The following is a 12,619-nucleotide window of genomic DNA, read 5'->3' as shown; positions in this document are numbered from 1 at the left end:
CAGGCACAGTGGCTCGAGCCTGTAGTTCCAGCTAGTTGGGAGGCTGAAATGGGAGGATCACTTAAGCCCAGGACTTCAAGGCTGCAGTACATGGTGATTGTGTCTGGACAATGTAGTGAGACCCTGTCTCCAAACAGCCCCCCAAACAAGTGAATATCACAGGCAAAGCTCAATAAAGCTGGAAAACTAAAGTTCCATGATATTCCTCCATCCAAAGCACTGTCCTAAGTTGCATGATATTTCTCCATCCAAAGCACTGTCCTCAGAAGCTATCAAATCCCCTCTCTACCAACCATCTTCTGAATCTGGCCTAGGGACTCTCCTTGAGGAGAGGGAGCCTCCACTTGATCAACATGAAGTCCATAATAAGGGAAAGTGGTAAGACATGAAGCTGGAGAAGGTAGACAAAGGCCAAGAAGTGAGTTCATATTAAGGAACTTGACATTATCTTGCTGGTTAGCAATTGTTTTCCATACTTAAAATACTATCTTCATGATTTGCCACAGTCACATAAGCACCAAATTATTAGTCACCTAATGTTTTTCTTTAAAGGTAACATTCCTTTCCAAAGGAAACTTTATCTCACTATTATAAATAGAAAACCAGTATTAACTTGCTACAAATAGAAGGCAACACTAGTGGGGGAAATGTAAACTATTAAATTTAAAAATATTAAAAATGAAATACAAATAAGACATTTCTGGAAACAGGAATAATAAATTAATCAGCACACTTGTAACTTGGTTATTGTAGCAGCCTCAAAAAGAAGGCATTTCATGTTTCCTTTTCTTTAAACCTCCTTTATCCACGCAGTGCCAACTGTCTTATCCAATCCACTGGTACCAGTGGTTGGTCATTTAATGGAAAAGAATAGTTAAAGCAGGAAATAATTAAAAACCATTCATACAAACCTTAAACTTTATTTCAACTTATGTAAATGTACATTCATTTGCCAATTTTAAAATGTAGGATCAAAGCCTTTTCCTTTTTTCTTTTTTTATTTTTTGAGACGGAGTCTCGCTCTGTTGCCAAGGCTGGAGTGCAGTGGTGCGATCTCAGCTCACTGCAAGCTCTGCCTCCCGAGTTCACGCCATTCTCCTGCCTCAGCCTCCCAAGTAGCTGGGACTACAGGCGCCTGCCACCACGCCCGGCTAATTTTTTTTATTTTTAGTAGAGATGGGGTTTCACTGTGTTAGTCAGGATGGTCTCGATCTCCTGACCTCATGATCCGCCCGCCTCGGCCTCCCAAACTGCTGGGATTACAGGCATGAGCCACTGCGCCTGGCTGTTTCTTTAAGTAGGGGTCTGTTGATTGGAGTGTCCCATCAGCTTTCTGGTATAAACTGTCCTAAAATATATCAGCTATGATTTATTTCCTGTTTCCTTAGAGTGGAGCAAGAAACGAAAGACATTCATAATAATCTAGAAGATACTTTCCAAATAATAATTGTTTTGTATACACGTCTAATTTGACAGAATTTTTTTTCAGTGACAAGTCTCTACTCTTATTTCCAAAGCACACACAACTCACTGTTTATAGAAATAACTTTCTTTTTGGTGCTCAGATTTCATCAGTTTTCAGTTTTCATAATATTTAACTAAATCATCTAATTCCAATTCAAGTACAACGGGTTGAGATTATACAATTCAACTGGACGAAGTAGAAGCATTCAGACACACTACAAAATAGCCATGAGACACAAGCATTTAACTCACTGGGTAAAAGTCATGTTCTGCAGAGGAAATGTAGTGAGTCCATTAAATTGAGGTTAGCTAAGTAATTTCAACTTAGTATTGAAACTATTGCTTAGTATCCAAAGTATTGCTTCTCCTCCTTCTTCTTCCTATATTGATTACTTCTTCCAAGATTTGATAATGTTTAGCTTCCTCAACATTACAGGACTTTAGAATTTCTAAATGACCATCCATCTTTACCATGTTTCCTCTAATAGCTCATTAAATGTATTCAGCCAATTTGAGACACTCCAAAGCTTTTATTTTATCATCAAGCATGATATTCTTTCTTGGTACTTTGGTGGCAGCATCTCTAGCACTATCATTCACATGCCTTTTGTTAGTCATTACAGTTCAAAACCATTTATTTAAAACCTTATAAAAGTAACTTCAAAATTGGGGCTACATATAGAGTTTGGCAAAAAGAGTGGAAAACTCTTCATGCATCCTTTTGAGCTGCAGGAAAAATTTCAAATATTTCTGGAAGAAATCTTCAGTTTGTGAGATCATGTGCATGCCTGAGACAGGCTCTGCAAATAAGCATATCTTGACAAATATATCTACTTATGTGAACAACCTAAATTTATCCTGACAAGTTTACGTATTCCACGTACAAAACAAAGTGAACAAGATAAATGTGAAACTAGAACTATGAGATATGTAGGTGAGCTGGATACTTTTTTCCTCTCTGAAAGGACCAGTTAAGGATTCCTCTGAAAAACTCACTGGAAATATTTCGAAAATTGTAAAAGATGCTTGAAATTTTTGAAAATTTTTGCGAGAATTTTCCCAAACTGGATGGCAGCAAAGAGTAGACAAAAAAAATCCCTTCTCCATTTCCAGATGTCCAATAAATAACTTGACACACTCAGAAGAATAGATTCTATAGATGAGCAGACCCCAACCTTTTTGGCACCAGGGACGGATTTAGTGGAAGACAATTTTTCCACAGATGGGGATTTGAGTGTACGTACGGTTTCAGTATGAAACTGTTCCACCTCAGATCATCGGGCATTAGATTCTCTTAAGGAGTGTGCAGCCTAGATCCCTCACATGTGCAGTTCACAACAGGGTTCGCACTCCTATGAGAATCTAATGCGTCCCCAGCAATCTGACAGGAGGTGGAGCTCAGGCAGTAATGCTCTTTCGCCCTGGCAGCTCACCTCCTGCTGTGCAGCCCTGGCCCAGGGGTTGGGGACCCCTGCTATAAACTACTTTAGATGGCTTCTTGGAACAAAAGGGCTTAATTTTTATTAGTGCTTGAATTAACAATAAAGTTGGACAAAGTTGACCATTAACTGTATTATGATCTTTCCAAGTACGCAGACTTGAGAGTTGTGATTCTTGGTGCTTATTAACATCAAAATTTAAAAATGGAATTGTCTTAATGACCTTAAAATCTCATCTTAGGTAGAAACCAAACACTATTCAAGCAAAGGCCCTTTTATTGCTAACTGACCAAAAATAGTATTCTCACTGAGGAACTTATTTCCAAGTGGGCATTTTTCTATATCAAAGGATGCATTGCTACATTCCACTTTTAATTTTTTTAACGTAATAATCATTCATATTTTTTCTATTCTCTTTTATATGTAGCAAACAATACTGGTTTTCTATTTATAACAATACAATGAAGTTCCCTCTGGAAATGGTTTCTAAGTTTAAAAAGTAATATTACTGGCCAGGCATGGTGGCTCACGCCTGAATTCCCAGCACTTTGGGAAGCCGAGGTAGGCGGATCGCTTGAGCCTAGGAGTTCAAGACCAGCCTGGGGCAACATGGTGAAACCTCATCTCTACAAAAAATACAAAAATTATCCAATGTGGTGGTATGCACTTATGGTCCCAGCTACTTGGGAGGCTGAGGTGGGAGGATCACTAGAGCCTGGGAGGTCAAGGCTGCAGCGAGCCATGACCGCATCACTGCACTCCAGCCTGAGTGACAGAGTGAGACCTTGTCTCAAAATAAATAAATAAAATAATAAAGAGTAATATTAAAGAAAAATGTTTAGTAACTTACAGTTTAGGGGTTATAAGCCTATGGCAAATCACTAAAGTAGTATCCAAATTTAAGTATGGGAAACAGTCAGCAGGATAAAGGCAAGTTCCTTAACATGCATGTATTCAAGACTACTCTAATTGGCCTTCCAGCCTCTTTTCTCACCACTTTCCCTCATCACAAAACTTCATATCCTAGCAGTGTTCCACATCTAACATAGCCTGAAATGTCCACTTTAGTATCCATATCTCTACCACCACACCCCTAAAATACCCAACTCACCTCCTTACCCTTTAAAGAGTCTCTACCTTAAAATATTACCTTCCTCCAAGAAACCTTCCCAAACTTGTCTCCTCAGATAGTATTACGTGTTATTAGAGACTTGGTCTTATTTATCTACCAATCTTTCTCTGGTTCCCCACACAGGTATTCAAGAAATATTTTTTGAAAGAATGACTCTGTTAAGTTTTACTCTTATTTAACTACTGAACAATGTTAATTACATTCTACTTTCAACTTTCATCCCTTCAAGTTTCCTTTATAATGTACTCCCCTGCCTGTTCTACTACTACTCCCCTGTAGCTGTTCCTCCAGCCTTTGAAAGTACTTCTGTCCTCCCCAAACATGTGACCCAAGATACTATATTAACTGTCTTTCTGGTTCAATCTCATCCTTGTTGATCTACACCTATTCAAGTTTCTTCAACTACCATCACAAATATAATAGCACTAGCTAAGAACTCATTCCTATACATTTAGTTGTCCACTAGATATTTGTACCCAGATATTCCGTAAGTATTTGTGGTGGGAAGCCTCCAAAATGACCACCAATAGGCTGGGCACTTTGGCTTATGCCTGTAATCCCAGCACTTTGGGAGGCCAAGGTGGGCAGATCACTTGTGCCGAGGAATTTGAGGCCAGCCTAGGCAACATGGCAAAACCCTATCTCTACCAAAAATAAATAAATAAATAAAAATAAAATACAATTAGCTGAGCATGGTGGCATGCCTGTAGTCCCAGCTACTTGGGAGGCTGAGATGAGAGACTGCTTTAGGCTGGGAGATTCAGGCTGCAGTGAGCCATGATCACACCACTGCACCCCAGCCTGAGCAACACAGTGAGATCCTATCTCAAAAAAACAAAATGGGCCCCATTGACTCTTGGTATTCATGCCCTTGTATAGTTTCTTCCCACAGTGAATAGTGCTGACCTGTGTAACCAACAGATTATAGAAATGATGTAGTGTGACTTTTGAGGTCAGCTCACAAAAGTTATAATGGCTTCTACCTCCCTCTCTGGCTAAAATCACTCACTCAGGGCAAAGCCAGCTGCCTCACACATCCCCACAGAGAAGTCCACCTACCAACAGAGGAGCTAGGGCTTCCTACCAACAATCAGCACTCACTTGACCAGCATGAGTAAGTCACCTTGGAAATGGACCCACCAGGTGCAGTTGAGCCTTCAGATTCCTGAAGCCCTTGCTTCTAGTTGCAGACACCTGGACTGCAACCTCATGAGAAACCTTGAAGCAGAACCACCCAGCAAAGTTGCTCACCGATTTCTGATCTTAGTAAACTATGCGTTGATAAATGTTTGGCAGCACTGTCCAAAAGAGCTTTTTGCAATAATTTAAAACGTTCTATGATCAACCAACAGTACTGTAGCCACTGGCTTCATGTGGCTAGTGAATATTTGAAATGTGGCTAGTGTCACTGAGGAACTGAATTTTCAATTTTATTTAATTTCAATTAATTTAAATGTAAATAGCCACATTTGTCTTGTGGTTACCATAGTGGATAGTGCAAGTTTATTGTTTTGGGATAATCTATCATACAACAGATAGTGAATACTTAAACTAAAGATTTAGTAACTTAAACTAAATCTATCCCTTACTATGTCTGTTCTCTTCTCCATCTTCCATCTTATCAGTCAGCCAAACAAAAATAACAAAACAAAACCCTGCCTTCTCCCTTTTACATTCCCTATCTTGCTAAGTATTACCAACCCCTACCCAAGGACACAACCCAGAAAGCCCCACACTTTGACCACACACCTTTCACCCTGCTGGTATTCTTAGTATCTTCTTAATAACTTTGTCTCTTCGCTTTTAAGTATATGTTACAACTTCAGTTTAGGAATTTATTAGTATCATTTTTCATATGGATTACTGAAAAATGTCTCACTATTGGTTTCTCTGCCCCTGAAACTGTTGCTCAAGACTAATCCTTTCTTCACGCTACCACCGAAAGAATCTTTTATAACATAACGCTTACTGCCTCTCTGACTGAAGGCCTTCAGTGGCTCCCTACAATCCAGAGGTTAAAATCCAAACTCCTTAGAATGACTTAAAAGGCCTTCCATAATCTGGTACCACCTATCACTCCAACTTTACCAACTGCTGTGCCCATCCATCATCAACCTCCATGCTCTAGCCATGCTGAACTATATGCAGTTCCTGAAAATGTGAGCTATTTCACCTCTATGTCCTTATTAATATTCCTTATTTTGGTGGCACGGTGGCTTACGCCTGTAATCCCAGCACTTTGGGAGGCTGAGGTGGGCGGATCACTTGAGGTCAGGAGTTCAAGGACAGCCTGGCCAACACAGCAAAACCTTGTCTCTACTAAAAATACAGAAATTAGCCAGCTGCGGTGGCACGTGCTTGTAATTCCAGTATTTTGGGAGGCCGAGGCACAAGAATCCCTTGAACCCAGGAGGTGGAGGTTGCAATGAGGCAAGATCATGCCACTGCAATCCAGCCTGGGTGATGGAGTGAGACTCTGTCTCAAAAAAACCTGATTGTTTCTTTTACCTGAATTGTTCCTCTATCCCTTACCTGTCCAGTAACTACATCCCACATTCCAGGATTCAGCAAATATATTCATCTCCTCTATGAAGCTGTCTGTGATCTGTCCAAAAAGTAATGATTTTTCTCCTTTCAGTCTCCACTGTGCCCTGTGCACTTAGTTCTCTATCTTCCTCTATTAGACTCGAAGTTCCTAAAAGGCAGAAACAGTATCTGATTCAACTCTGACCATATCTGGCAGTATAGGATAGTGTTTAAGAGTGCATGCAGGCTGGGGCCAGGCATGGTGGCTCACACCTGTAATCCCAGTACTTTGGGAGGTTGAGGCAGGCGGATCACTTGAGGTCAGGAATTCAAAACCAGCCACGGCCAACATGGTGAAACCCCGTCTCTACTAAAAATACAAAAATTAGAAGGGCACGGTGGCACATGCCTGCAGTCCCAGCTACTCAGGAGGCTGAGGTTGCAGTGAGCTGAGATCACGCCACTGCACTCCAGCCTGGGCAACAGAGGGTGACTGTCTCAAAAAAAACAAAACAAAACAAAAAAAAAAACAGTGCAGGTTGGGAAGTCAGACAGATTCATACTAAAATCCAAGTTTTACCACTCACTAGGCATGCTACTTAAACTTTCTCTTTCTTCACCTGTGAATACCTCACAGAGTAATTGTGAGAATTAAGTAAAATAATGGGTAGGAAACATTACAGTACCTAGCACATAATTTTTAGTCAATACATGTATTTTGCATGGAGAGATTAATGGTTGGGTTACTACCTCCTAGATAGGTATATAAAGGGTGGGAAAGGTCCAAATAGAAGGTATCATCTTTGGAGTAACTTTTTAGCAAAATACAGAAAAACCAAGTAATCCAGGAAGCCTACTGGGTATCTACTACATGGTCAGAAAATTGCAGGGAATGACAAAAGGGCTCAACCAGAAATAAGTAAAAGGTTGAGGGAGAGCAGAGGACCTAGATGGGGTAACAAAGGAAAGATTAAAAGCTTAGTGATGACAATAAAGACAAAGTGTACATGCAAAAAGATAAGGGGAGGCTGGGCGCAGTGGCTCAGGCCTGTAATCCTAGCTCTTTTGGGAGGCTGAGGCAGGCAGATCACTTGAGGCCAAGAGTTCAAGACTAGCTGGGCAAACATGGTGAAACCCCATCTCTACTTAAAAAAAAATTAGCCAGGTGTGGTGGCGCACACCTGTAATCCTAGCCACCTGGGTGGCTCAGCCACAAGAATCGCTTGAACCCAGGAGGCAGAGATTGCAGTGAGCCAAGATCATGCCACGGCACTCCAGCCTGGGAGACAGAGCAAGACTCGGTCTCAAAAACATAAAAAATTTTAAAAAAGACATGGAGTGAAGGAGAAGTAGAAGGTAAGAGACACAAAAACACAAAAATTTTAAAGTAGAATCCTATCAAATATTGACAAGATTTAAGACGCAGTCATACTGATAGATTGCTCCTAGCCTGAATCACATGAAATTGCAAATGTTGGATTGTTTTTGACTAATAAAATGGATTAGGCCATTTTTCCATAATAAGCTGGATCTTTTTTAAAATAATAAACTCAAAGTCTGAAGGTTGCCTTTTAATATCATTTTACATTCTACCTTTGGCCTTGAATGCCTGAATGTTGTAGGGCTCATGAGTCAAAAAAATACACTCCTATTAAAGTGTCCTGGATATTCCCTGTAACACAACTTAGAAATTACTCCTGTAATTTATCTTAAAATAGATTAAATAACCTTCTTTGGCTGAATATTTTCATTTGGAGTAACATAAAATTGGGTACAGTAGCAAATGTAATGAATCAAGAGTCAAAAAGATCTGGGTTTTTTTATTTTTTATTTTTAAAGAGACAGAGTCTCACTCTGTAGCCCATGCTGAAGTAGACTGACACAATCATAGCTCACTGCAGCCTGGAGCTCCTGGGCTCAAGCAATCCTCCCACCTCAGCCTCCTAAGTAACTAGGACTACAGGTACTGTGCCCCGCTAAAAGACTTGAATTTAAAACCTGGTTCCAAAAAAATTTATAGCTGGGAAATACTGATCTAGTCAATCAATGTCTTTGAATCTAAGTTTTTTTCTCATCTGTAAAATGGGAATAACATTTGCCTTGTACAATTATTATATCTATTAAATATGATGTATATAAAGTACCTAGAATGAGGCTTTACATGTAGAAGCTGGTGTTCATGGTTACAAAATAAGGAAACAGTTGTAAAAGTATAGTAAATGCAAATGTAAACGACTAGTATACAAATAAACATATAAAAGCAACAATAATTTATTGGGTGTGACAAGACTGAAATGCTGCTTGTGTAATAACCTTCTCGTTTAAAAAAATAAATATGGGAAAACAAGCATGGGCAAATGTTTGTCAACTGTGAACCGGTTGCTTTCCCCCTCATTATTTTTGCCAATCTGACTTTTTAACTTCATCAATGCTCAAAGATGACAGAACATCCTCCAGATTAGTCATATCGATCACAGTAAATTTTTCAAGCTGGATAAGCAAAGTTCTCCTTAGTGCTAACAGTGTGAGGAAGCAATGCTAGCTAAAATGAGATATGGTAAATATTTATGCAAAACTAACAGACCTTTACCCCACGGGGAGGCTGCAAGCATGGGAAAAAGCAGCTTCCCAGAACTCAGCATAGCGGATGTCTGTAGATCTCCCTAAGGGCTATAAAGTCTCCACATCTATACGACTCCTTCGAAGAGCACTGCCTTTTGCATGTTAGCCTCTTTGTAAATCCCAAACCTAGTAAAATTCTCAATACAATTCTCTAATCTTTCTCTACCTAGAAACAATACTTTACTCAATAAAAGATTTAGTTGGTGGGCTTCTTTTTTTAAACCAATGATCTGCCTACCTCTCTTCTAGATTTTCTTCTAGATTTTCTGGGGTTACTAAAACAAAGAAAGAAAACAATTTACAACCAAAAAGGGTTAAAAAACAACACACCTAAATATCTCTTAAGCAATTTTTCTCTCCATTTAATAAGATAAAAAGTGACTAAACTGATTCATGTCACAGAATTTCAGAGACAAAAAATCATTTACAAAGAAGAAATGAGATTAAAAGTAACAATGTTTTTCACTTTGGCTCATATGGGGTGTGTGGGACCCCCATGGTCTCTCTCCTTCCTAGTTAGTGTCAAGCTGGAATGTGAGAAGATGGCCAGTGAGAAGACTGAAATGCAGCAACATAACATCATGGTGGGGAGAGTTATGATGTCAGGGGAATGGGAAAGAGGACTTGTTAGTCCTGACTCACCCAACCACTCTGGGGTAGGACTGAGCCCTCTTTGAGCCTTATCTTTCCTATCTGTAATTGGGCCGACTGGGATTACAGGTTCTCTCTCAGAAGCCTCTCCCAGCTCTTGAGAATAGTGAAACAGGAATCTTCCCTCTTCTCACAGGCATCTCTGTGGGGCCAGGGTCTCTAGGCATCTCCTATCTTCTCCTCCCACTGCACCCCTAGTCTCTGAGGAGATCAGAGGCAGCCCCTCCAGGTATGGTCCCGCTTCCTCCTCTGGGCTCCTCCTCTGGGACCCCATGGGGTTCTGGGGCTCTGTATCCTGCTGTGATTCCCCCAGCATCACCCAGCACAGGGTTGGGCATCCACCTCCACCCCAGACATTCCCAATGGGCTTTTCCTTTGCAGTATGAGATATCCTATAGGCTCAAAATTGAAATGCATAAACAGGTAACTGTGTTGCAGATAACAGTGTTCAGAAGGGCGGGTGGAGATCTGGAAGTCAGGGGAGGAACCCAGTGTGGGCAGTCTGGGACAAAGCTTACCCTGAGCATATGGGTCTTGCCTTGAAATCTCTGCAGAGGTCTCAGAGGGCTGATGTGGGAAAAAGGAGACAGATTTCAGATTCTCACATTTTGGAGACATCATTTAGTAGCTGGAGCCATCCAGAAGCAAGGCAGGCAGTGGGTAGGGGCCAGGTATCCCTATCGAGGAGGGCTCATAGCAAAGACTAGACAGCGAGATCAGGGAGGCTGTGGAGGTGACTTGTATTCCAGGAAGGGACTGGATGGATAGTCTTGAGGGTCCCTTTTAGACCACAATCTCAAGTTTTGAGATGGACCGCAAGAGTCTGTTGCTGTTTTGAAGGTTTTCAGACCTAGGACTGGCCAGAAGTTTCTGAGATTGTTCTCATGTCCCTGAACTTGATCCCACGGTTCAGGCTGACTGCACCATTCCAAGATGGACCTCAAGATTCTGCGACTGTGATAATTGATCCAATGGTATAATACCGGGCACAAGGTCCTGGGACTTCCCAAGATTCTGAGTTTCGCATGAAGGTTCTGAGACAGACCTCAAGTTCTAAGATTGATGACCCTGTATGCTGAGATGTGTCCCAAGGTTCTGAGGCTGTCCCCAAGCTTTTGAGTGTGATCTGAAGGTTCTGAGATAGACCAAAACTTCTGAAATTGACTCCAGTGGTTCAACCTGAAATCATGAGATTAATTGATGGTTCCTAAAGGGATGAGGAGGTCCTGAGATTCTGAGCTTGCTGGACTCTTAGATTCTGTCCACCAGAATATTAGAACCAATAGGTAGAGCCTTGGGTCAGGGATTCCAGGTGAGTGGGAAGAAGAAGGGGAATGGGCTGGGAGTACAGGGCGCCTGGGGTGCTGACCCTGGCATGCTTTCCCAGATGTGTGTGGGCTATGTTGGTTCTGATATAGGCAGGAAGAGGCTTATCTGCCCAGAGCACTGTGTGGTCCCACAAGTACACGTAACAGATCCCCTTATGGGGAGAATGACAATAGGTAGGGCCCAGGCCCTGGGAAACTGGTTCCACCCTCCTGAGCATGGGAGACACAAACCCCAGCCAGGCAAACAAAGCACGCCTGTAACTCAGGCAGAGGCAAAGCACAGGGCCATTGCCACACACCCCTTTCCCCACCCACACGGCGAAAAGAAAAAAAACACAAGTGTTTTAAGGCTCAGAAGATGACTCTATAGCTATAAAAGATAAAACCTTTTTATCTTTAAATGGCAGAAAATATAAACTAAATGATAAAGATAACACTATAACAACGCAAATAAAAATATTATCTCCACTGCCACTTAAACACACGCAGATTCTTGATAAGAAAAAACTGCAACCCAACTTACTTACATCATTTATGCTTCCAAAGGCCTGATTATCTACTATTAATATATTACATATATGAGATAGGCCTTAAACTTCTTAAAAGGACTTTAAAATAATTATGATGGAAAATGATCTATAAGCAACACAGATGAGGCATCAAAAAAGTTCAATGTTTACAGATGTGTATATATTTAAAGCAACTAATAACAAACCTAAACACAATGTTTAGGTTCACTCTTTAGAGCAAATGAGACAAAATCCCTCATGTCAGAAATCTGGAAAAGAAAATAGGGAAAACAGGTGATTAAGAGTACAAAGGATAAGATGTAGTTATTAAATTTTAATGTGAAGGCAACTCTTTAATGGTATTGTTGAAGACAAAATCTATTTTCTGGGTTTCATCCAATTGATTGATCTAGATGAGCCAATAACCACAAACGACTGTGACCAGTAGTTTCAAAAAAGCGAGCATCGGAGTAATAATCCCAAGTCTTCTGTTTAGAAACTATGTCAGCTTGGGTATTAGTGAACCTCTCAGAGGCTCATTTTTCCCAGTTTTAAAACAGGGACAACAGTATTTAGCTTAGTTGAAAGGTTAAAAAAGACAATGCACAGGAAGTACCTAAAACAGTGAGCAGTACTTAATATGTACTCAATAAATGTAACATCCGGCCGGGCGCAGTGGCTCATGCCTGGAATCCCAGTATTTTGGGAGGCCGAGGCGGGCAGATCATCTGAGGTCAGGAGTTCGAGACCAGCCTGGCCAACATGGTGAAACCCCGTCTCTACTAAAAATACAAAAATTAGACGGGCGTGGTGGCGGGTGCCTATAATCCCAGCTAATCAGGAGGCTGAGGCAGGAGAATTTCTTGAACCAGGGAGGTGGAGGTTCAAGTGAGCCAAGACCATGCCACTGCACTCCAGCCTCCAGCCTGGGCAACAGAGCGAGACTTT

The 12,619-nt window shown here is 41.0% G+C and overlaps 1 protein-coding gene across 15 annotated transcripts in view, besides 1 other annotated feature; it reads right to left on the bottom strand.

The window, feature by feature from the left end:
- Positions 1–12,619, bottom strand: part of ARHGEF12 (Rho guanine nucleotide exchange factor 12) — a 153,525-nt gene that overhangs the window by 125,832 nt on the left and 15,074 nt on the right. The window lies entirely within an intron of this gene.
- Positions 10,387–10,601: a silencer, noted in NCBI's record as "fragment chr11:120224214-120224428 (GRCh37/hg19 assembly coordinates)". NCBI's record gives its function as "represses an EF-1alpha promoter that drives an FKBP-Casp9 reporter gene in an ReSE screen in phorbol 12-myristate 13-acetate-treated (for megakaryocytic differentiation) K562 erythroleukemia cells {active_cell/tissue: K562(+PMA)}" and the evidence as "EXISTENCE:reporter gene assay evidence [ECO:0000049][PMID:32094911]".

Source organism: Homo sapiens, chromosome 11 (genome assembly GCF_000001405.40).
Source record: "Homo sapiens chromosome 11, GRCh38.p14 Primary Assembly".
In the NCBI taxonomy this organism is placed as follows: domain Eukaryota; kingdom Metazoa; phylum Chordata; class Mammalia; order Primates; family Hominidae; genus Homo; species Homo sapiens.
The sequence above is the reverse complement of the archived record's forward strand: the minus strand, read 5'-3'. Positions and strand labels throughout refer to the sequence as shown.